Below are 25,970 nucleotides of genomic sequence, written 5' to 3' on the forward strand. Positions count from 1 at the left end.
ATTGTCACAGTGGTCTGAGATCCAAGAAGGCAGGGCAGAAGCATTGTGTCCCCTTCCCAGCAGATGCAAGGGAGGCTGGGGGGTGAGGCACAAGCCCGTGGGAGGGTGAGGGGCAGGATGGGTGCATGGTGAGCCTCTGTTGACTGCTGGCTGCCTCAGCTGGAAGGTCAGGACCCAATGGCTATTACAGGTTACAATTACAGAAGTATTTTGGATTTCGGATTTTTTCAGATTTTGGAATTCGAAAATCTGAAATCGAAAATGCTCCAATGAGCATTTCCTTTGAACCTGGCCTTCGAACATCATGTCGGCACTCAAACAGTTTTGGATTTTGATTTTCAGATGAGGGATGCTGTATTATCTTCTGAATGAGGCCACTCATTTAGGAAAGCCAAGAGTTTGGGGACATGGAGCTGCAGGCCAAAGAGGTGATTTTTGAGGTGCCTTCCAGTGCAGAAGGGCCTACAAAGTGGTTTAAGCCAAGCCACAAAATAGGAAACCCAATATTTAGCTAATGGAACACTGATAAAACCTGCTCAAGATGTCTGTCTCTACTAATTCAGATGGAGCCAAGCCAATGCATTCTTATTATTTTAAAAAGGCACCAGTCCGTCTGCAAAAGCACTGAATTGTATCACGCATCATCAGTGGTGGTTTTTTACGGATATGAAGAAGGGGTTTTCACAATACATCGCACGACACACTATCTTCCAAATCTCTAAACATTTCTCTCCCCAGCCTGATCTTCTCCAGTTGTCCAAATCACTCCCTCTTTTCTCTTGTCTCCAAAACTCAAAACCATGTTCTGACTTTCTGTGTCCTGCCCTCCCCTACTTGGACCACCTGAGAAGGCCCCCGGTTCCCCAGGGTGTCCCCTCCTCCCCTCCTGGGATCCCCCATCTTTCCTCAAATGGACCAGTTTGGCCTCTGTTAGTTTCTCCAACTCTGCATCTCAACCTTTCTCCCTTCACTACAGAATAATGTCCAGGAGGCCAAGAGCCCACAAACCAGGGACCCTCCCTTTCCAGAAGGGAGGAGAGAGGTGACTACAAATATTTGGTTATGATTTTCTTCGCTGCCATGCCTGTTTCCATGGGCAGTGCTGAGCCCCAGTCCTGGCAGAGCTCAGAACCAGGCTTTCAAGAGCTGGGGCAAGTGGGGCCTAGGGAGCCTCTGGGTTGAGGATCTTGCACCCCACTCTGCAGCTGCCCTGTCCCAACCTCTGTCCCTTCCTTCCTGTGCCCCCAGGCCTGCTCTGCCCTGTCCTGCCTCAGCCTGCCCAGGAAGGCCTCTGCTTGAGGCCCCCAGGAGGCTCACCCCAGAGCAGGCATTATGATGGGGACTCCCACATCCCACCTGCAGAGTCTGCCTGGGGCTTTGAACCAGCCAGGAAGCTCATGTGGACAGGGCTGGCCCCGGGCCTAGTGGTGGGGGAGGCAGGTCAAGTCTGAGCCCTCCCCAGTGCTGCCCCCATCCCCAGGCCTGGCTTCCTCTGGCACCCAGTCCTGCAGGTCCCACCCACCCTGTGCTCTGCCAGGTCAGGGGACTGCTGCTATGGCATTAGAGGGTCAGAGCCGCAGAGGGCCCTGGAATTGATTAGCCAAGTCCACCTCCCATGCCTCAGGATGGGGATGTTAAGGCCTAAAGCGAGTCAGGGACCCTCATCCACAAAAGAGCACATAATTTTGGACAGAATGAGCTAGAACCCTGGTCTCTGAACTTCCACGCTAGTGTTTTCCCCATAACACATAGGGATTCCATCATTTCTAGCTGGGCTCATTGGCTCATGCCTGTAATCCAAACACTTTTAGAGGCTGAAGTGGGAGGATTGTTTGAGACCAGGAGCTTGAGACAAGCCTGGGCAGCAGTTTGAGACCCTGTCTCTATAAAACATCAAAAAATTAGCCAGGCGTGGTGGTACACATCTGTAGTCTCAGCTACTTGGGAGGCTGAGGCAGGGGGATTGTTTGAGCCCAGGACTTCGAGGCTGCAGTGAGCTGTGATTGAGCCACTGCAGTCCAGCCTGGGTGACAGAGCAAGACCGTGTCTCTAAAACGATAATAATAGTAATTTCTAAACTATGGAGGTGGGTAAGGGTGGGTATTGTCGAAATTAATGGAATTGAAAGTGTAGATTGTGGGTTCTCCTATGGTTATTTGCATTTTAAGTGGAACATAAAGATCAAAACATCTTGACACACAGGCAAATCCACGGAGACAGAAAGCAGATGAGTGGCAACCGGCGCCTGGGGAAGGTGCGGAATTGGAAGTGACTGCTTCGTGGGTACGGGGTTTCTTTTGGAGGGATGAAGAGGTTCTGCAGTGATTAGTGGTGATGGTTACACAGCACTGTGAGTGTACTTAATGCCGCTGAATCATACACTTGAAAATGGTTGAAGTGGTAAGTTTTATGTTTCATGTATTTCACCACAATTAAAAAAGAAAGCTCCCGGACTCAAATACATAAAACCTGTATAGAAAAAGGTCTCACTGCTGGGAGTCTGTTTTGCTTCTTTCCTTCTCTCTCTGTGCCTCCTTCACCCAGTCTAAGAGGGGAGCTACACGCAGTGTAGAGAGTGACTGAGAATCCACTCCAGGACAGCATCCCAAGAAACAAGACAGAACCAAATGATAAAAGGAGTTGTTTCTGGAAAAACATCCTGGAATAGGGGAGGCAGCACAGGTCAAGCCACAGGGGAGGGTCTGTGACAGCTGCTTTACTCCACGGGGTACCACTGAATGCTCCGGTGGTTCCTGACTTCACATTTTAAAAATTATTTTTATTTATTTATTTTTTTTGAGATGGGGTCTGTTGCCCAGGCTGGAGTGCAGTGGCATGATCTCAGCTCACTGCAATTTCTGCCTCCGGGTTCAAGTGATTCTCCCGCCTCAGCCTCCTGAGTAGCTGGGATTACAGGTGCACGCCACCACGCCCAGCTAATTTTGTATTTTTAGTAGAGATGCTGTTTCGCCATGTTGGCCAGGCTGGTCTTGAGCTCCTGACCTCAAGTGATCCTCCTGTCTCGGCCTCCCAAAGTGCTGGGATTACAGGTGTGAGCCACCTCGCCCGGCCCTGAGTTCACTTTTTTTAAAGACTCCACATATGAGTGAGATCATGGGCTATTTGTCTATGTGTGCCTGGCTTATTTCACTTAACATGGTGTCCTCCAGGTTCATCCATGTGGTTCCAGATGACAGGATTTTGTCCTTTTTATGGCTGAATAGTACTTCATTGCCTATAAGAAATGACCCATGCATAAGGGGATGGATGTGCTACCTCCCTGATTTGATCATTACGAAGCATATCTGTATTGAAACATCAAATTGTACCCTATGTACACTTTGTACATACAATATGTACACTTTGTACATATTGTATGTACAATTTGTACATACAGTAGGTACAAATTGTACATACAGTAGGTACAATTTGTACATACAATATGTACAATGACAATGTGTCCCTTTTAAAAAACTGGCTCGCAGTAGAGACCAGTAAAGGCTTTCGCAGCTCCAAGGGAGATCACAGACTGTGGAGCAGGCTGGGGGCTCCAGGGCCTGGGCCCCTGGCACTCACCACTGTACTTTCCAGGCACAACCCTCCCTCTCTTTAAGGTCAGGCATTCCCCCTCCCCTTCCTGAAGGTCCTGCTTCAAGCCTGCCTCCTCCTTCCTCACCCAAACCACTCGCTGTGTTTTCACCCCTTATCAGAAAATTACTTAGGCCATGAAGCTCTGTATACATTTACCAGCTTTCTGAAAAGGCTTTCATATCAGGCAGTTTCCCACGGGGTTGGAGTCTCAACGCATTGAAATGGTAAATTATGCTGGGTGCAGTGGTTCATGCCTGTAATCCCAGCACTTTGGGAGGCCAAGGTCAGGAGTTCGAGACCAGCCTGGCCAACATGGTGAAACTGCATCTCTATGAAAAATACAAAAATTAGCCAGGCATGGTGCGCACCTGTAATCCCAGCTACTCGGGAGGCTGAGGCAGAATTGCTTGAACTGAGGAGGTGGAGGTTGCCCTGAGCCGAGATCATGCCACCGCACTGCAGCCTGGGTGACAGAGCAAGGCTTCTTCTCAAAAAAAAAAAAAAAAAGAAAAAAAAAGAAAATAAAAAAATTAAAAAGAAATGGTAAATTATGTTTTCTTTACTCCCTTTACTGAACTCCTTGTAGGGCCTAGCACTGTATTCTGCACACTTGAGTCCATCGTCCAGCAGATGCTGGTCCTTCATCTGGTCTGGGGCTCTGAGCACTCGCCCCACAGTGCTGACCCGGCGGTGCTCACCGGGGTGGGAGGGAGTTGGCGCTACTCTCCTTGGAGTGCTCTTGTAGGTATGTCTTAGATCTGTGGTCTGAGGCATGTTAGGAGCCTAGAATAATTTCCCAAGGGGAAGAACTGAAAGTCCCCACGAGAGAACAGAGCTTGCCCATCTACTGAAGAACAGTCCTCCAGGGTCCTCTCCTGATCCTGCTCAGCTGCGAACTCCCTCCTCGCCCACCCCTCCTGTTCCTCTTCCTCCTCCTCCTCCTCAGCTCTCAAGGTTTAACCATCAGGTTAAACATAGTCCCCACAGGGTGAACCCAAATGAACACCCAGCGCTGTCAGGCACGGACTGTTGCATGGATAGGCTCACGGCAACCCTTCAACCTACACATAGGGCAGCCTTATCCCAAGCATGCGCATTGTAAACGCACACTTCCCAGGGGCGGACAGGGAGCCTGGATTCCCGGCTCAGCTTAGCTGGTGATCAAGGTATAACCTTAGTCCCTCCTCTCTCCAGGCCTCAGTTTTCTGGCTGTATAATGAGAGTACTGGACTTAATGAACCTGGGTTTCCTTTCAGCTGGCGTGTCCATGTTCACAAAGTTGTTCTTGGTGTCACTCAAGCAGCTGCTCCTGCCTCCCCAGCCCTGCTCACACACATGCCCATAACCACATACATGTGGTTAGAGTGGGAATGAGGAGGTGTGGGAGGGCAGCCCCTTCAGAAACTGCTGGCCCTGCTGGTGTTGCCACCCAGAGGTCCTGGACACAAAGCCCTCCATGGACCCCCTTAGGCTTGCCTGGCAACAGACAGGGACCTGTTGCCCAGACACATGCTTCTGCCTGGTGCCCCTCAGCTGACCGCAGGGAAGCTTTGGAAATACCCCACAGAAAGGAAGCCACTAGATCCCATTCTCCTCAAGTCTATCTGGGGAGAGGGGAACGCAGAGTGAGAGGGCTCATTTTCTGGCTACATTAGCTGTTAGCCGTTAGCTCCGGAGGTCTGGGCCGGGAAGTCCTGGGCAGCGCAGGGAGCGGCAGGTGAGCATCTGCTTCACCCCAGAGGCTGCTCCTGGCTTTGCCAGACCTGACCTCAGAGGATTTGGTCACATGGGGGTGTTGTATCCCTGAGACTCACAGAGACACGCAAAACACCAAGTGGGGGGTGGGGGTGAGGCCTACAGAGGGGAAGGAACTTGCTGAGGCCTCCACAGTGAAGAGGGCACCTCCAGCGCCTGGCCTCCAGAAGGTCCTCAGGCCTGAGCTCCCCTGTAGCACCAACACAAGGCAGTGCTGGGCCACTACCCCCTGCCCTTCCCCCCTTCCCTAAGGTGCGGCTAATAGGTCAACTGTCCTGGTCCAGGGATATTTTTAGCCAGCAACATTTTGCTCTGAAGGTGGCTTTCCTGTGGCTGCAGGAACAAATTGAAACAACTGGTTGGCTTAAAATGCCAGAAATTTGCTCACAGTTCTAGAGGCCAGAAGTCTGACATCAAGGTGCTGGTAGGGCCACGTTTCCTCGAAATGCTCTATGGCAGAGTCCCTCCTTGCCTCTTCCAGTTCGTGCAGGCCTCAGACATTCCTTGGCTCACAGCTGCATCACTCCCACCTCTGCCTCTGTCTTCAGGGGTCTTTTTTTCTGTCTCCTATAAAGACACTTACTGGATTCAGGCCCCACTCAGATGATCTCATCTTGAGATCCTTGATTACATCTACAATAATGGCAGATTCACAGGGTATCGGGGTTAGGAAATGGACATATCTTTTTGGGGGCCACCGTTCAACTCATAACATATACCACTGCATTACCGCGTGCCCCTACATTGTCAGCCATACTCTGTTGTTTGTTCCTGCTTTGTAGTAACAATAACAGCAACAGCAATACTAACAGATAACATTAATTGAGTGCTTACTACGTGCCAGGCACCATGATAAGCCCTTAACATATTAACTCATTTAATTGTCACCACAACCATGTGAGGTGGTTCCTATTCTCTCCAAACTACAGTTGAGGAGATGAGAGTCAGAGAGGAACATGTTGATCACAGGTGAATAGAGAACCAACTCCTGGGATCCCAGAGTTCAGAGTGGACAGAGACAAAGGTAAGAGACAGGGGACCTGCCCCTGGGTTTGGAGAGCAGGAGGACCAAGGAAGATGGTGGAGGAACTCAGGCCAGCACCACTCCACCCCTTTCAGCTGTGTCACCCCAGGCTGGAGCCATGCGTCACACACCATGAGGACACTGGGGCTACAACTGACACATGTTCCTGCCACGTGGTGCTAAGAATCTTGGGAGAGAGAGATGGAAACCAAACAGTTGCATAAATTAATGTAAAATTGCAAATGGAATGCAGAGCACAAGGTTGTCTGTAAAAACTCAGGCCAAGGAAGAGCTTCCTGAGACAGAAACGTCCAAGCTCAGAAGTAACCAGGCAGGAGAGGAAGGGAGGAGTGTTTTGGGCAAAGACTTTGCATCTGCAAAGACTGTGTGGCCAGAGGAGGCATGAAGAGTTTGAGGAGTTGAAAGAAGGCCTGAGTGGCTGCAACTCAAAAGAGGCTTCCTAGGTGGTGAGGAGGTGAGGGGTGGAGCCAACCATGTCAGGCTCTGAGTGTCCAAGAGTGGTAAGAAGCCAGATTTTAGAGGAAAAAACAGGTCCCTGGGGAGACAGAAAATGCTTTCTATTCCTCCTGGACACAAAGAAACAAAGCACAAGTTACATCCTTAGCAGGTGCTCACTTCTCTGGTCCTGGATGGGACACGCTGCTCCACTGCGAAGAGCTCAATCTGGCCCTGCCTGTGCAGCACAATGGGGCAAAGCAAGGCTTAAGCCCGGGAAAGGCTGGGATGGGCTCCTTAGGCTAAATCACAGGTGCTTTATTTGTTTGTTTGTTTGTTTGTTTTTTTAGCCATTCTTTTTATTATTATTATTATACTTTAAGTTCTAGGGTCCAGGTGCACAACGTGCAGGTTTGTTACATATGTATACATGCACCATGTTGGTGTGCTTCATCCATTAACTCATCATTTACATTAGGTATATCTCCTAATGCTATCCCTCCCTGCCCTCCCCACCCCACAACAGGCCCTGGTATGTGATGTTCCCCTTCCTGTGTCCAGGTGTTCTCATTGTTCAATTCCCACCTATGAGTGACAACATGTGGTGTTTGGTTTTTTTTGTCCTTGCAATAGTTTGCTGAGAATGATGGTTTCCAGCTTCATCCATGTCCCTACAAAGGACATGAAGTCATCCTTTTTTATGGCTGCATAGTATTCCATGCTGTATATGTGCCATATTTTCTTAATCCAGTCTATCATTGATGGATATTTGGGTTGGTTCCAAGTCTTTGCTATTGTGAATAGTGCTGCAATAAACATATGTATGCATGTGTCTTTATAGCAGCATGATTTATAATCCTTTGGGTACATACCCAGTAATGGGATGGCTGGGTCAAATTGTATTTCTAGTTCTAGATCCTTGAGGAATCACCACACTGGAAACTACTTCAAATTTCATATGGAACCAAAAAAGAGCCCACATTGCCAAGTCAATCCTAAGCCAAAAAAACAAAGCTGGAGGCATCACGCTACCTGACTTCAAACTATACTACAAGGCTACAGTAACCAAAACAGCATGGTACTGGTACCAAAACAGAGATATAGACCAATGGAACAGAACAGAGCCCTCAGAAATAATCTATAACCATCTACAATCTACACACATCTACAACCATCTGATCTTTGACAAACCTGACAAAAACAAGAAATGGGGAAAGGATTCCCTATTTAATAAATGGTGCTGGGAAAACTGGCTAGCCATATGGAGAAAGCTGAAACTGGATCCCTTCCTTACACCTTATACAAAAATTAATTCAAGATGGATTAAAGACTTAAATGTTAGACCTAAAACCATAAAAATCCTAGAAGAAAACCTAGGCAATACCATTCAGAACATAGGCATGGGCAAGGACTTCATGACTAAAACACCAAAAGCGATGGTAACAAAAGCCAAAATTGACAAATGGGATCTAATTAAACGAAAGAGCTTCTGCACAGCAAAAGAAACTACCGTCAGAGTGAAGAGGCAACCTACAAAATGGGAGAAAATTTTTGCAATCTACTCATCTGACAAAGGGCTAATATCCAGAATCTACAAAGAACTCAAACAAATTTACAAGAAAAAAACAAACAACCTCATCAACAAGTGGGCGAAGGATATGAACAGACACTTCTCAAAAGAAGACATTTATGCAGCCAACAGACACATGAAAACATGCTCATCATCACTGGCCATCAGAGAGGTGCTTTGTTTTTTAACACTTGCCTGAAGGACTTAGGTGACTGATGGGTGAGCAAGAGGAAAGTTGTTTGGATTCATGGGTGAACTTTTAGGCAATTTCCATATTCCATGTATGAGTGCCACTGCAATGCATATTGATGCATTCATTTTGCACATTGGATTATTTCTTCAGGATCCATTTCTAGAAATAAAATTTCTGGTGGAAACACATGGGACATTTTTAGGGCTGTAGCCCTACAGAACAGTTGTTCCAATTTACAGCCCCAGCAGTGGATGAGTGTCTGTTTACTTAAACTCTCCCCTGTCCAGCTGTCATTATTACCGTATCTTTCTGATCTCTGCCGATTCAGCAGGCAAAAAGAGGTATCTTGTGGTTTTAGTTGCATTTCTTATTCTTCTCCTCCTCCCTCCTCCCCCTTCACCTTCCTCCTCCCTCCTCCTGTGGTTTTAGTTGCATTTCCTCCTCCTCCTTCCTCCTCCTCCTCTTTGCTTCCTCCTCCTCCTTCTTCCTCCTCCTGTGGTTTTAGTTGGATTTCCTTCCCCTCCGTCCTCCCTACTCCTCCTCCTTCCTCATGTGGTTTTAATTGCATTTCCTCCTGTTGCATTTTCTCCTTCTCCTCTTCCTTCCCCCCTCCGCTTCTCCCCTCCCCTTCTCCCCCCACTTCTCCCCCCCTTACCCTCCTCCTCCTCTTATTGTTTTAGTTGCATCTCCTCCTCTTCCTCCCCCTCCTTTTTCCTCCTCCTCCTCCTCATCTTCCTTCTTCTCCTCCTCCTCTTCCTTCTCCTCCTCCTCCTCCTCTTTTCCCTCTTCTCCTTCTCCCTCTCCCTCTCCCCCTCCCCCTCCCCCTCCCCCTCCCCCCTCCCCCTCCCCCTCCCCCTCCCCCTCCCCCTCCCCCTCCTTCTTCTTCTTCTTCTTCTTCTTCTTCTTCTTCTTCTTCTTCTTCTTCTTCTTCTTCTTCTTCTTCTTCTTCTTCTTCTTCTTCTTCTTCTTCTCTTTCTTTTTAAGACAGGGTCTCGCTCTGTCACCCAGGCTGGAGTACAGTGGTGCATTCTCGGCTCACTGTAGCCTGGACTCAAGCCATCCTCCTTCCTCAGCCTCTGGAGTAGCTGGGACTAGAGGTGTGCAACACCAAGCCCAGCTAATTAATTTTTTTTGGAGGGCTGGGCACAGTGGCTTACACCTGTAATCCCAACACTTTGGGAGGCCAAGGGGGCGGTGGGTGGCTTGCTTGATTCCAGGAGTTCAAGACCAGCATGGGCAATAGAGCAAAACTCCATTTCTACTAAAAATACAAAAATTAGCTTGGCATGATGGCATGCATCTGTAGTCCCAGATATTTGGGAGGCTGAGGCAGGAGGATCACTTGAGCCTGGGAGGCAAAGGTTGCAGTGAGCCGTGATTGTGCCACTGCACTCCAGCCTGGGTGACAAAGTGAGACTCTGTCTCAAAAAAAAAAAAAAAAAAAAAAAAAAGGGATATGGCTGATACACACAGAATGATCTACTCTCCTAAGATCTTGTACCCCAAGAATTTTATGACTTCTTGGATGGTATCAATTGTGTTTTATGATGTATTTATTCATTTACTCGATAAGTTTTGATCGAGTGCTGCTCTGTACCAAGATGTGTGTCAAGAAATGGGGATACACTGTTGTGCGAGAGGAAGTCCTCATGTGCCAGGAGCTTACAGTAGACAGGGGAAGACACACAAACCCATTATGAAGAAATACGGTAAATGCGACGGGAATGGAAGCAGAGGGTGCTCTGGAGTACCCAGGAGAGTTATGCCTCCCAGCCTTGTACTGTCAGGGATAGTTTCCCAAAAGAAAGGACATCTAACCTGAGAGCTGAAGAATAAATACTAGTTAGCCAAGTTAAGGAAGATGGGTAGGTGGGAGGGAGTAAGTTTAAGTTTTAAGGCATTCTAGGTAGAGAGAAAAGCAATTTGGGCAAATCCAGTAGGGGATAAAAATCATTTGGGAAACTGAAAGTCAGTCTCTTGAGTTGATTGCAAGAGGAGAGGGTCAGAAAAGTTAGAAGAAGAAAAACAGGGATCGGATCACAAAAAGCCTTGTAAGTAAGATTAAGGGTAGGGTTATTATTATGAGGTCAATACAAAGCCATTAGATCTTTTGAGTAGGTGGTATGCAGTGTAATTGCATTTGCATTTTTAAAAGATTACCTTGTCTATATGGTAAGAATAAACTGGAGGTGGATAAGAGCAGAGGCAGCTCCCTTAGGAGGTTGTTGCTGTGGCCCAGGCCAGAGATGATGAGTTGGACTTGAGACTGGGGCTGGAGAGAAGCGGGCAGTGTAGAACATATGGCTAAAGCAGGCAACCTGAAAACATCCAGGAAATTATTGTCGTTATAGGACGGCCCGGCAAAATGCAAATTGTTCTGTCCTCGTTTGATCTCAGCTGGACTGTGAACTCGGGGGACAGGGACTATTTTGTATTCATCCCTGTTTCCAGCACTACGGAAGTGCTCAGGAAATGAAAGTTCTTCCTAAGTGAGTCTCAGTGACATGGTGTTTTGATTGAGTGGTAACCCTCACGCCTTTGCTGACCCACCTTTATTAGGGAAGTTCGGTAGTGATGGTTAAGTCGATATGGAGCGCTACTGCAGCAGGGACATTAAGGTGCAGAAGCTTTACCCAGTTCACAGTGCACACTCAAACACCCAGGCTGGTTTTTCCTGACTCAGTTCTCTTCTGCCATCTGCTGGGACAGCCTTTCATAGCACATCAAAGCAAGATCACCAAGGAAGACAAGTCTAAAAACTACGGGAGCCACAGTGGACAATGCCTTGGATAAGCTTATAACTTAGTTGGAGAAGCAAGTGTCACATCCATACCACTGTCCATTTGAAGCTAATCTTCAGTGTTTATTTCCCAAAGACAAAATGTCTTTTTTCTTTTTTTTTTTTTTGAGATAAGGTCTGGCTCTGTCACCCAGGCTCCAGGCTGGAGTGTAGTGGCACAAACACGGCTCAGTGTAGCCTTGGCCTCCTGGGCTCAAGAGAGCCTCCCACCTCGGCTCCCCAAAGTGTTGAGATTACAGGCGCGAGCCACTATTCCTGGCCTATGCAGACTACCTTAAATATCTGTATTCTCCTATCAACCTTATGATAGCCATAGATTGTAACAATTTCTAAGCAAGAAAACAGAAACACAGAGATTTAAATAAAAAGCCAACTTTGAACAATAAGTAAGTGGCCGAGCCAGGACTGAAGCTTCCTTGACTCCTAGTTCCACACTTTTCTCACAACGTCTTAACATCTGAAACACAACAAGAGACAGTTCCAACAGGCGGAGACTGGCTGCTGATCCGCAGCAGAGACAGGGTGGGCCTAGTGTGAAGGCTGACAAGGCCAGTGGCTCCCTGATGTACAGAGATGCAGAATGTTGGCATGGGGTGGGGTGGGGTGCGGTGGGGTGGGGTGGGGTGGGGTGTGGGAGAGGAACAGAAACAATTCTCCACATTCCATGTTCCCCAAAGATGTGTCAAGGGGATGTTTCTGAGGGATTTTTTTTTAAGTATATGAAAACTAATAGAACTTGAACCTTTGGTGGATGTTGTCAAACAAAATAGACCCTACTATTTTTGTTAATGAGTCTGGTTAAGACTAAGAAACTATTGCACCATCCTTTTCTCTTTCTACCTCTCTCTCTTTTTTTTTTTTTTTTTTTTGAGACAGGGTCTCACTCTGTCACCCAGGCTGGAGTGCAGTGGTGAGATCACAGCTCTGGCTGATTATTTTTTATTTTTGTAGAGACGAGGTCTCACTATGTTGCCCGAGGAATCCTCCTGCCTTGGCCTCCCAAAGCACTGGGATTATAGGTGTGAGCCACCGCACCTAGCCAATTTTTCTCATTTAAACTTAAGTTATTTTGATATGAATACCCAAATATAGTCTTGGTGTTAAAAAATCAAACATTCAGGTAATGCTAAACTTTTCCTTTACTGCAAGTTCCAAGCCTTTTCTCAATGAAAACCACAGTCAGGAGTATGCTTCCAGATCTTCTAGGAAATATGAGTGTTCCTATGGGAGCATAGAGTCTTGTTTAGTGTTTTATCTCCCTTACATGAATGGGATCTTGCTGTACTGTCCTGCCTCTCCCTCTGAGCGGCCCACACTCCCCTGACTCAGTGGGAGGTACGCTTTGACTTGTCCAGGGCCGCTCCTGGGAAGTTCCACGTTATCCCCTGAGAACAGACGTCCTCAGTGCCCTCCTGCTCCCATGCCATGCCCCCCAGCTGCCAGGTCCCCACAGCTCTGGCCCAGCTTCTTCATAGCTTGCTTCTACCCGCGCCTGCCGCTTTTTAAAATATTGTGGCAGGATAAATATAACAAAAAATTTGCCATTTTAACTATTTTAAAGTGTACAGTTCAGTAGTATTAAGTACATTGACATTGTTGTGCTACCATTACCATTGTTCATCTCTGGAACTTTTTCATCTTCCTCAACTGAAACTCCATTCCCATTAAACGATAACTCCCCGTTCCCCTCTCCAGGCCTCTGGAAACCACCTTCTACTTTCTGTCTTATGAACTCGACTACTCTAGGTGCTTCATGTAAGTAAAATCACACAGCATTTGTCCTTTTGTGACTGGCTTATTTCACTCAGCATCATGTCTTGAAGGCTCATCCATGTGGTAGCCTGTGCCAGGATTTCCTTCTTTTTTCAAGTTGAATAATATTCCATTGTATGCATGTACCACATTTGGTTTATCCATTCTCCTGTTGGTGGACACTTAGTTTGCTTCCATCCTGTGGGCTATTGTGAGTAAGGCTGCCATGAACATAGGTGTACAAGTATCTCTTTGAATTCCTTCTTTCCATTCTTTGGGGTATATGCCCATAAGTGCTGCAGCAGCTTCCTGAGTACATTTCAGGCTGTGGGTGTTTTCTTCATTTGAATACCCCTTGCATTTTGGCTACTTACCATGGTTACCTACTGATGTGGTTTGGACTGAATGTTCCTGCACAAATCTCACGCCAAATAGTAATCCCCAGTGTTTGAGGCGGGGCCTGGTGGGAGGTGATTGGATCATGCAGGTGGGTTATATCCAGTTATATCAGTCCTTCTCCAGTTATATCACCATTTTTGTTCCTCAGTTGTTACCAGCTTAACCTTTCTCATTTCGTTAATTATTGACGCTATCACTTCTTTCCCCATTTTGTACCATAAATGGTTTAGCACCACCCTTTTGGTGCTGTATTGGTGATAGAGTTCTCACGAGATCTGGTGGTTTAAAAGTAAGTAGCACCCCCGTCCCCCACCCCATCTCTGTTCTTCCAGAGGCTGTTTGAAGTGCCTCTGTCTCCCTTCACCTTCCGCCACGATTGGAAGCTTCCTGAAGCCTTCCCAGAAACAGAAGCCAGTATGCTTGCTGTACAGCCTGCAGAACCACGAACCAATTAAACCTCTTTTCTTTATAAATTACCCAGACTCAGGTATTTCTTTATCACAGTGTGAGAACCGATTAATACACTCACCCACCAAGGGCACTCCTTTTTCCTTTCTAGGATAGCTATAGGCTTAAATAAATGGTTCTCCATTTCTAAAGATTTTGGGCAGGGTAAAGAGTCTGTTCTCAGACTCCTGGACTGTAAGACTCAGTTCAAATGTCCCTGTCTCTGTTGTCTTCCCTGACCAATCCCTAGTGACTGAGTGCCCGTCTCCTTTTCACTGCGGGTCCACTGTGTTCTCTTCAGGTGCAGTGTTGCTGCTTTTGTTTAGAGTCCATCTTCCTCATGAGACTGTGAACCCCTTGAGGGAGAAGATTGTGCTTTGTCTTTGATCTGCTGTATTGTACATAGTGAACAGTGTCTGTTTTCAAATTTTAAGTTAATTTAAACAACATCTTTAATGGCCGGGCGTGGTTGTTCACCCCTATAATCCCAGCACTTTGGGAGGCTGAGACAGGCAGATCACTTGAAGCCAGGACTTCAAGACCAGACTGGCCAACATGGTGAAACCCTGTCTCTACTAAAAATACAAAAATTAGCCGGGTATAGTGGTGCACGCCTGTAATCACAGCTAATCGGGATGCTGAGGTAAGGAGAATCGCTTGAACCCAGCAGGTGGAGGTTGCAGTGAGCCGAGACCGTGCCACTGCACTCCAGCCTGGGCGACAGAGTGAAACTCTGTCTAAACAAAAACAAAAACAAAAAAACACACACAAAAAAATCACCAAATTTTAATAATTATATACAGTTAAAAAAAGTCAAACAAATAAAAGGTTTATAAACCTTAACTTCCCCCTCCTAGTCTTAGTACTGCTCTTCAGAAGGAAACACCTCTGTTTCAATTTTTAGTCCTCTGACTCTGAGTGTTAATTAGCTTCTCTAAGTAGTAAAGTTGTACTACTACACCACCAACCCTGTAGGGCTTTATCTACTGGTTTCTGCTGTGGTTGATGAGAATTTAGTTCACCTGTACCACCACCCACCTTTCCTGCTCCAACTGGTTCCAAGCCTTCACCCCTCCCTAACCCCAGGCCCACTGCCATGTGACTTTGCAGCCCTGCCCACTTGTGTATCCCCAGATTTTGACTTTGGGCTTAGCCACGTGATATGCTTTAGATAATGGGATGTTCTCAGGTATGATGTAAGTAGGGGTTAGAAAAGTGCTTGTGGGCCAGGTGCGGTGGCTCATGCCTGTAATCCTAGCACTTTGGAAGGCCGAGGCAGGTGGATCACTTGAGACAAGGAGTTCAAGGCCAGCCTGGCCAACATGGTGAAACCCTGTCTCTACTAAACATATAAAAATTAGCCGGGCATGGTGGCACATGCCTGTAATCCCAGCTACTTGGGAGGCTGAGGCAGGAGAATCACCTGGACCCGAAAGGCAGAGGTTGCAGTGAGCCATGATTGCGCCGCTGCACTCCAGCCTGGGCAACTGTGTGAAAGAGTGAGACCCTGTCTCAAAAACAAAAGAGAGAGAGAAAAAAGAAAAGTGCTTGTGCAGTAGGGTCTGTTCTGTTGTACCTCTGTCATCATCTGGCTAGCCTGCTGGTCTTGGGAGGAGCATAGAAAATGTAGGGCAACACCATCCCAGTCACTTATAGACTCATATACAGAAGCAAAGCAATCTGGCCAGACCCAGCGTAGATCAGTTGAATTATAGTATGTCTGCAGATGGATGAACAATCATAAATGACTGTTGTATCAAGCCACTGAATTTTTGGGTACTTTGTGATGCAGCAGTAGCTAACCAATACATACCACAATCTACCTTCCCAGCCCCCCTCTTCCTTCTCCAGTTATATCATCATTTTTGTTCCTCAGTTGTTACCAGTTTGACCTTTCTCATTCCATTAATTATTGATGGTATCTCTTCTCTCCCCATTTTGTATCATAAGTTTATTTTCACTCCTCTTCCTTCCACCTCCACTCACCACTTTCCTGATTTCATCAGGAAATTCCAACAGCTGATTTCCATCAGGAAATTCCAACAGCTGATTTTTGTCAGCTACATCTTAGCTTTTACACAGAGACGTCTGATTTAATTAACATTTTGCTTTGTAACAGAATTTTTGGACACCTGGTGCTTTCTGAGTCCATAAGGTTTCCATGGAGGAAAATTGACAAAAGATTCTTTCAGAGAAAACCCACAATTTCCCATTAACTAGTTTAGTGTGTTTTCCTTCCTTGCAACCAAATCATCCCAGATTAGTATACCCTCAGTCCCATCAAAGCTCCTGGGGACCAAAATGTCAGCAGCAGTAAGACAGAACGGCAGGATGAGACTTATTTGCATTGAGTTATGTTGGGTTGTTAGCTGCGGTAATAAAACCCTGGGATGTTTCCTCTCTGACAACTCTTTCTATTGTCACAAACATTTGTGCTAGTAGCAGATGGATAGGTCACATCAATTTAATGTAACTACTGTACTTTACAAGGCTCTGTCTTCATTAACAAAGATCAATTAAACCAAGATCGGCATTATGCCCAGGAAATCAGTGTGACATTTAACAAGAAGGATATTCTCGATGGACACACTTTGCCATAATTTTTTTTTAACACATATAATAAAAAATTGGAGGTGAAAACGAGTAGATATTTTGTAAGGTTTAGGCTGGAGATGGTGATGTTGGAACCTGGAATTCTCAATTGGTAGGAATGCTATCCTTGGGTTTGAGGAATCTCAGATCTTTCCTGACCCCTCCACACCTACATGGGCCAGAGAGTGTAATGAGGGACCCTTCCCTTCTGCGGACATTCATTCCTTTATTTCCCCCATATTCTCTGGAATCATGAAAAGAACCTGGATTTGAGAGTAGACAGTTTTACATTTGAGCGGCCACTTTACCATGACTTTGCAAGTGGAACTTGGGCAAGTTCCTTAATGTTTCTGATCTTCAGTTTCCTCAAATAAGGAAAATAAATAAATGCCTAATAGGTTCTGCTGTGAAGAGTCAATGAGCAAAGCATCTCATATGCCTGAGTCATAGAGAGCACATAACAAAAGATAGCTCGTTTTATTCTTATTATTCATCACCTTGAGACACATATTTATCTTAATATTTAACTTAGCTCACTTTATTATCCCATACCATTTGTAGTGAGAATGTATTTTTCCCCTGCTATCCTTTCTTCTGTGATAACTCCAACGTCTCTCCTCCCTCAGGGATATTCCTTGATTCTTGGATGCTGTCTCCTCCAGCAGAGAAAACCGGAAGACAAGGGTGTCCCAGAGTTTTGGCTGTTGTTGCTTGTCCTAACACACGATGGCACTGTTGAAACAGGCAATCTTGCCATTGGGTGCCATCCTCCCGGTACAATGCCCAGGGATCTTAGGGAACCAGGCAGGCACCTGCGTGGAATATAGAGATCCGGCAGCAGCTGCTACAGCCCATCTCAGCCTTGTGGAGAGATCACTTTTATTTAAGTACGGCTTGTGATGGAAACAGACCTGCAAGCCTATTGTGTGTGCAGGAGGGATCCTCACCCTGGTGTACCCGCCCGTGTCTGAGACTCAGTCCCACTTCCTTGTTTAATTGCTCTGAGCTTTGAGTTGACACATCCAGAAGCTCCATGATAAGTGATTTCTCTCCATGCAGACAGCTACCGTCATACTCAAGTAATTCGCATTCTCCTCTCTGGCAGTATTCACGTGCAGGTTCCTGCCACAAAGACGCCCTTGTAGGGAACCAGCTCTGAATAAAGCTTGGAAAACTCACACCTCCCTGGGCACATCTCTGCCCAGATGAGTTCCTTGGACCTGCATGTTTCTGCCCACACTCATGAAACCTGGTCTGGAATTAGCTGTCAGCGCTGAAGGAATGTTGGCGTAAACATCACTCGTCCACTTTCACCTTTTAACCAAATCTCAGGACTTTAAATGCATTGAGGGTGTTTGCCATGGGAAGGAGGGGCATGAAGAGATACCCAAGATAAATGGTTTAATCGAGAAAACAAATTGGCAAACTAGATGTATAACATGATCCCATTTCCCTGTTTTTTCTTTTGCACTTCTCTATTGTCTGAATTTAATGTATTTTACAAAGTGTATGAATTAGTTTTACATATAGGAAAACATGACAAAGATTTAAAAAACCACCCTATTCTGCCAGCAAGTTGGTTGGAAATAGAGGCTTCAACTGAAAGAAAAAAGTAGGGGGATAATGTGGGGTCTTTATCAGTATTGCTTTTGGAAAAATTGAAAAATCATCAAAATTATTTTTTCTAGTGATATATGACCCAGAATCAAATTTTAAAAGATTCTTTCTTTCTTCCTTCCTTCCTTTCTTTCTCTCTCTTTCTTTTCTTTCTTTCTCTTTCTTTTTCTTTCTTTCTCTCTTTCTCTCTCCCTCCCTCCCTCCTTTCCTTCTTTCTTTCTTTCTTTCTTTCTTTCTTTCTTTCTTTCTTTCTTTCTTTCTTTCTCTTTCTTTCTTTCCTTTCTTTCTCTTCTCCTCTTCCTTCCCCTCTCCTCTCCTCCCCTCCCCTCCCCTTCTCTTCCCTATCTTTCCCTTCCCTTCCCTATCCTTCTGTTCCCTTCCCTATCCTTTCTTTTCCTTCTTTCTGCAGTCTCACTCTGTCACCCAGGCTGGATGAAGTGCAGTGGCACGATCTCGGCTCACTGCAAACTCCTCCTCTTAGGTTCAAGCAATTCTCCTACCTCAGCCTCCATAGTAGCTGGGACAAAATTATCTTTTAAATCAGCACAAAACAAAATTGATAAGGTAATATAAAAGCATATTGTGAGCTGGCCTTTGCTTCCTTAAAATGATTTCTGAAGAGATCAAAACAATTTCAAGGAACAGGCATAGTGGCTCACGCCTGTAATCCCAGCACGTTGGGAGGCTGAGGTGGGAGGATTGCTTGAGCCCAGAAGTTTGAGAACAGCCTGGGCAACACAGTGGGACCCCATCTCTACAAAAAATAAAAAAACTAGCTGGGCATGGTAGTGTGTGCCTGTAATCTCAGCTACTCAGGAGGCTGAGGCAGGAGGAGCGCTTGAAGCCTGGCATGTCGAGGCTGCAGTGAGCTGAGATTGTGCCACTGCACTCTAGCCTGAGTGACAGGCAAGACCCTGTCTCGAACAAAACAAAACAAAACAACACAAAACAAAACAAAAGAAAACACCAGTATCAAGGTCTAACAGTAACCATACACTAAGGACAACAGCAGAATCAGGCAAGAGCAAATGGTGTTTCTATGTACTTGTGGCCAAGAAAGATTTCTGTGCTTTCTTTTCATGTAGGCTTCCTTCTTCTGTTTTTACTTTTGATCAAGTGGTTTATATTTGATTATGCCTCCACAATGTAGAGCGTCTGAGCAGCATCTCTCTATTTAGTTAGAGATTAAAAACTGAAGAGATGAAGGAAATTGACATTTAATGAATATCAACTGGTACTGAGCACTGGGCCAGTGACTTTACTGCCTTTATGGCGCAGAAGCCTATGTCCAAGAGGGGTTAAGAGCAAATTCAAAGCTGTTGGCTTTTGAAGACACTTGACCCTTGGATCCTGCATCTGTGAACTTGGGAACTGCAAATATGTATACTTCTTTATGGAAGGGAAGAATTCAAATTTTTCCAAATATATATTCAAGTCTATTTTAGCTGCATATGTTTTCTGTATTAATTGGGTGATGTTAGCTGCTATAGTAGATTAACACCACTTCTCAAGGATTAACACGAACAAACATATTTCTCTCTTAGTTTCCTGGTCCATACTGATTGGCTACTCAGAGCCCAGGTGCCTTCATCCTGTGGCTCTGCCCTCTGCTAAGTTCCCAGAGTTATTTTCATTCAGCAGATGGGTCAGGGAGAGTGACTGTGTGGAAGACACGTATGTTTCTTAGTCATTTTGACCTGCAGGAGACAACAGCACAGCATCATTCCCTTGGTGAGAGCTAGTCCTGCCTAGAACTGGGGCTGGGCAGCCCCTTCCCACAACGACTGTGCACGGTGGAAGGGATCAGTTATCTTTGATGGTCAGCCAATCGTTTCTACACGGGTATACTCATGACTCAAATCAACGATTCTGGAAAAATGTAATTTTTAATGTCCTCAAAGTCACTTTCCAACTTCAGCAGTGAAAATGGCAAGAAAGAGAGGTCATTTGGAGTCCACTCAGAGAGAAGGTCGAGATTCAGATCAGGCGTTCTGGAGCTTCCTGTTTGTATTTGCACAAGCAAACTATCTCCAGACCCAGTATCTCCTCAGCAGGTTGGTCAGAGAGCAGGCAGAAGCATATCTATCTGTCAACAAATTCTTTAAAAAGGTAAAATTCCTCAATGGATTGTAGTAACGCAAATGTAATATATGTTTCCAAATATTGTTAGTGTAATTGGACACCCATTTGTGTGAGAAGTAGCTATACTTTTAATATGCTGCTGGTGGAATTTTTAATTGGTTTAGCCATTGAGAGAACACACTGGCATCATATCTTAGAGTTGAAAATGGAGGCATCCTATGACCCAGCAATTCCATCTGTACCATTGATAAGGATTTTTTTTTTCCCAATCAGCAACCCTGGATGACCAAATAATGCAAACAACTGCGTGTATGAATGACTCCGAGTGGTTTCATTTTTTTGACAAGATGATATCTTAAGAGCAGGAAAAAATCGACCAAGTTCTTATGAGAGAGAAATAAATTCTTCCAGCATGCTGCTATCAGTAGCTGAACATGCACATTGGCAGCAAGTTCTAAATGATGGAGACCATCACGCTGTTTGCCTCACGGACATTCTCTGAGCAAGTCTATTCAAAAGTCAGAATTTGATCAGGTAAAGGTATCTGTGCAAAGAAGAATCAATGCAGTACTATCTCACGTAGTCTCATGGGATGGAAAACATGAGAAGGAATCAACTTTACAGTGATATTTTAACCAGTATCTATATATTTTTATCAACAGAAGTATTGATTCAAGTAGAATGGAAATGTTGTAGAATGTATCTGTTGTAGGAAAAGTGGAGATTTGTAGGTAATATTTTGCTTCTCAGACTGGCTATTTGAGTGACATGATAGGAACACAGGGGGTCACCATCGTGGCAGATGTAGCAAATTTTGTTTTATATTGTCACTTATCTGAGAACTTTCCCTCTTCAGAAGTACAAACGTATAGAAAATAAAATAGGCTTCTGAGCAACAGAAATATGTCACAGACATTATGAGCTGAACTTATGAAGGCTTCTGTGAGATTTCCTCAAAATATCACGCCAAGCTTATTTTCTATTTATTTTCTTATGTTTTTGTCTGATAAGCCTGGCTAGCTCTTTCCTCCTTTGAGCAGCACTGTAAGATGTAGCATATTAGAAATGTGTCTGTGTGCATGAAAAAATGCTCATCATCACTGGCCATCAGAAAAATGCAAAACAAAACCACAATGAGATACCATCTCACACCAATTAGAGTGGCAATCATTAAAAAGTCAGGAAACAACAAGTGCTGGAGAGGATGTGGAGAAATAGGAACACTCTTACTCTGTTGGCGGGACTGTAAACTAGTTCAACCATTGTGGAAGACAGAGTGGTGATTCCTCAAGGATCTAGAACTAGAAATACCATTTGACCCAGCCATCCCATTACTGGGTATGTACCCAAAGGATTATAAATCATGCTGCTATAAAGACACAAGCACAGGTATGTTTATTGTGGCACTATTGACAATAGCAAAGACCTGGAACCAACCCAAATGTCCATCAATGATAGACTGGATTAAGAAAATGTGGCACATATACACCATGGAATACTATGCAGCCATAAAAAGGATGAGTTCATGTCCTTTGTAGGGACATGGATGAAACTGGAAACCATCATTCTCAGCAAACTATTGCAAGGACAAAAAACCAAACACCGCATGTTCTCACTGATAGGTGGGAATTGAACAATGAGAACGCTTCGACACAGGGTGGGGAACATCACACACCGGGGCCTGTCGTGGGGTGGGGGGGGGAGGGGGGAGGGATAGCATTAGGAGAGATATACCTAATGTAAATAACAAGTTAATGGGTGAAGCACACCAACATGGTACATGTGTATATATGTAACAAACCTGCACGTTGTGCACACGTACCCTAGAACTTAAAGTATAAAAAAAAAAAAAGAAATGTGTCTGTGTGCATTTGTGTGGGTGTGTGCTCACCTAGAACAATTGTTCTTAAATGGGGGTGATTTTGCCCCTCCACAATAGGGGACATTTGGCAACGTCCAGAGACATCTTCGATAGGCATGCCTGGGGAGGAAGGGAGAGTTACAACTCACATCTAGAAGGTAGAGGCCAGGGCTGCTGATAAATATTCTATAATGCACAGGATGACCCCTACCCAACAAAGAACTATCCAGCCCAAAGGTCAACAGTGTGCCACCCTAGTAAGACACCCTAGCAGTCACAAGGACATCAGTGAAACGTACGTGGTAGCTTACAACCTAATAGTGAGGTAGGAGGGAGAAAAAGTTATAACAACAAACGTATGAATTAAAAAATTAAATTTACAAAAGCACATCAGTGTGGCACCATTGGCATGGAGGGAAAGAACTCCATGCGTGTCAATAACCCCTGAGGCTATTGCCATATCAGGGCACTGAGTAGTAATGGCTGTCTGAATAATGTTAATATATTCAGTTTCATAAAATAGATGGGAGATTTTTATTACCTGCAGCCCCATAGGGCTGAGTCTAGCAGACACTGACATCCTTGATAAACAGATACCTCTGACTTCTGCCTGGAGCTAAGGGACTGCAATCCAGTGTATTAGAGGCAGAATTTATGTGGCAAAGTACATGCATTTAGGAGTCCTAGACACCTGGGTCCAGTCCCGGCTCTGCCACTGTGTGACTTTGGGCAAATTTGAAATCTTCTGAGTCTCTATAGGGGATTATATTATCTTCCATGCTGAGTGCTATGAAGACAAAATAAAAATATTTGTTAAATGCCTGATGCATAGAAGGCACTTAATAATTAATGGCTCTTATTACTATAGTAAGTGATAAATAATTTATAAACATAATAATATAAACAACTTTAATAATAAAAACAACTTTATATTTATACAATGATAAAAATATAAACAACTTTATATTTACATAATGATAAAAATATGAACAACTTTATATTTATATAATGATAAAAATATAAACAACTATATTTATATAATGATAAAAATATAAACAACTTTATATTTATAATAAAAATATAAACAACCTCATATTCATAATAAAAATATGAACTATATTATACTTATAATATATGTAGTAATGAGCAAATGATTAATAAATAATAGTTGTTATCGATAATCTGGTGTCCTGAGGTCTAGACGTTCTGATACCTTGCCACTTGGCAGGTAAAAGGTAATTGGCACAATCCCAGTGGCCTGACCTGGGGAGGCAAGTTCCCGCCCCCATTCACAGACAGCTGTGGTGAGTTTCTGGCCTAGAATAGAGGAGGGAGAGTGCCTCTAATCCAGACAGCCTCCATGATTGAAAGGGGAGAAATAAGAAAAGCCTGAAAGTCAATTAACCTGAAGCTGAACAACGGAATGCCTGACTCCACTGTTGAACTCCCCTCACCCAGCAGCCACCTCAGTGCCGCAGAAAGACTGTCTTGCCTCTTCTCACTCCTGCTGGCCAAGAAAGCACAGGAACCTCACAGGACCTGCACATTGAACTAAATTACTTCTAGCAGAAAAAAACTCCATCAGTGAAGCACTCATGCATCCCAGACGTATTTTAAGGGCACCAGTGACGATCTCTCCTTTAACTCCTGGGCCTCTTACTGCTTCAGCTTCAGACAGAACTGGGTTAGTATCGTGGCTTTGTTGCTTCCTAACTTGGTGGCTCTGTTATCTAGGTTAAATGTCTTGTGGCTTGTCGAGAAGCAAGTTACTTGATCTCTGTAAGCCCTAGTTTTCTCATTTGTATATTAGGGATAGAAATCATATCTGTTTTTCAGTGTTATTGCTTATTATTAAATAAAAATTAAATGCATCTATTAAATAAATATTAAATATATTACTATATAACAATAATGTCTCTGAAGCACTTAGCTGAGGGCTAGCATATCCTAAGAGCTCCGTGAATGTTAAATGCTCTTTTTATTATTAAATATTATCATTACCCTTGGGATGGCTGTGGATGAAGTTCTTATTGAATATCTCCCTAATAATCTTGGACTGAAGTGGCAGTGCTCTTAAGGATAGTTCCTGTATTGGACTTACAGTAGTTCTGCATTAACTCTTAGAAGCTGAACGAGTAGGCTGGGCACGGTGGCTCATGTCTGTAATTCCAGCATTTTGGGAGGCTGAGGTGGGTGGATCACTTGAGGTCAGGAGTTTGAGATCAGCCTGGCCAACATGGCGAAAGCCCGTCTCTACGAAAAATACAAAAATTAGTTGGGCATGGTGGTGCGTGCCTATAATACCAGCTAGTCAGAAGGCAGAGGCAGGAGAATCACTTGAGCCCCGGAGGTGGAGGTTGCAGTGAGCCAAGATGGTGCCACTACCCTCCAGCCTGGGTGACAGAGCAAGACTCCATCCCCCCACCAAAAAAAAAAAGAAAGAAAAAAAAAAGAAGCTGAATAAGTAAATTTTGTTTGCAATAAGGAATGAACAAGTTCTTTTTTATTTTTAGAGATGAGGTCTCCCTGTGTTGCCCAGCATGGACTTGAATTCCTGGCCTCAAGTGATTTTCCCATCTCAGCCCCCTGAGTAGCTGGGGCTACCATGTCTAAAGCTTTTCTTTTCTTTTTTTTAAAAAATTCAAACAATATCATTTGTGCTACATTTACTGTAGGGAAACTGAACATTATAAATAAGGGGAAACTGCTGTTGAAATGAAAAATACATCATTTTTATCCTTTTATAGTTTTACATTGGTGAAAAGAATATGTCTTTGTATAACCCGAGTGTTATTTCAAATGTTCTGGCTTTCTGCCTTTTTCTTGTTCTATATTACTGTCTGTGTTAGAAGATAATAAACAGTATGTGTCCTCCCCGGATTGAATCTGTTATCCACTGTGGGAAGCTCCTGGCTTTGCTTCATGTTCAAAAACATGATTTTTGAGGAGGTTTATGCATATTAAAAGATGGGACTTACCTCAACTGGGACAACCTTTCATTTTTTGCTGCCTGAGCAGATAAAGATGAAAGAGCAGGAAAATCAGAGTTGTAGGTCATAATAATTCCAAATGATGGTTTGCTTTGGGGCTTAGGCCTGGATCATTTATTTTCTCTTTTACTGTCAGCTTGCTAAGGGATCTCATCCTGTCTGCTGGTTTTGAATGCCGTTAACTTGCTGATGGTTCTCAGATTTGTATCAGCAGCCCAGACCTCCCCCGAGAGGCCAGTCAGGTCCACCCAACTGTCTACTTGACATCTCCACTTGGCTGTCTAAGAGGTGATCCAAACTTCACACATCCAAAACCACACTCCTGATTATAGCCTCAACCTTCATCAAGCCTGCCCTCCTCCAGCTCAGTCACTAGCCTTGAAGAATTGTCCTTGTCTCTAGTTCTTGGGAGGGAATCACTACACTGTTGGGATTTCCCAAGTGATAGGAGTGTCTTTACCATTCATGGTGGGCCCCTCGGATCACATCTGAGTTTCCGCTAACGAGATGACTCAGGACAGAGGCCTACCATGACAGAACGACCAACTATGTGATTAGAGGACTGGGGCTTTGAGCTGGGTGATATCAAACTGAACGATGGAGAGGGGAAGGGAACTGGAAGTTGAGTTCAATTTTGTGGTCAATGATTCAGTCAGTCATGCCTACACAATGAAACTCCAGTAAAAACTCTGGACACCAGGGCTCAGGTGAGCTTCCCTGGTTGGTGATACATATTGATGTGCCAGGAGGGTGGCAGGTTAATGTAATGGACAGCCAAGGTTGAGAACCAGGTCAGACACCACAAGCTCTTACTGCCTCTAGGCCTTTGTTTTTCACGTCC

At 44.7% G+C, this 25,970-nt stretch overlaps 1 annotated feature.

The window, feature by feature from the left end:
* Positions 4,587-5,088: an enhancer, noted in NCBI's record as "H3K4me1 hESC enhancer chr15:91586547-91587048 (GRCh37/hg19 assembly coordinates)". NCBI's record gives its function as "activates a minimal SCP1, AML or CMV promoter by ChIP-STARR-seq in naive H9 embryonic stem cells {active_cell/tissue: H9 hESC(naive)}" and the evidence as "EXISTENCE:reporter gene assay evidence [ECO:0000049][PMID:30033119]".

Source organism: Homo sapiens, chromosome 15 (genome assembly GCF_000001405.40).
Source record: "Homo sapiens chromosome 15, GRCh38.p14 Primary Assembly".
In the NCBI taxonomy this organism is placed as follows: Eukaryota; Metazoa; Chordata; class Mammalia; order Primates; family Hominidae; genus Homo; species Homo sapiens.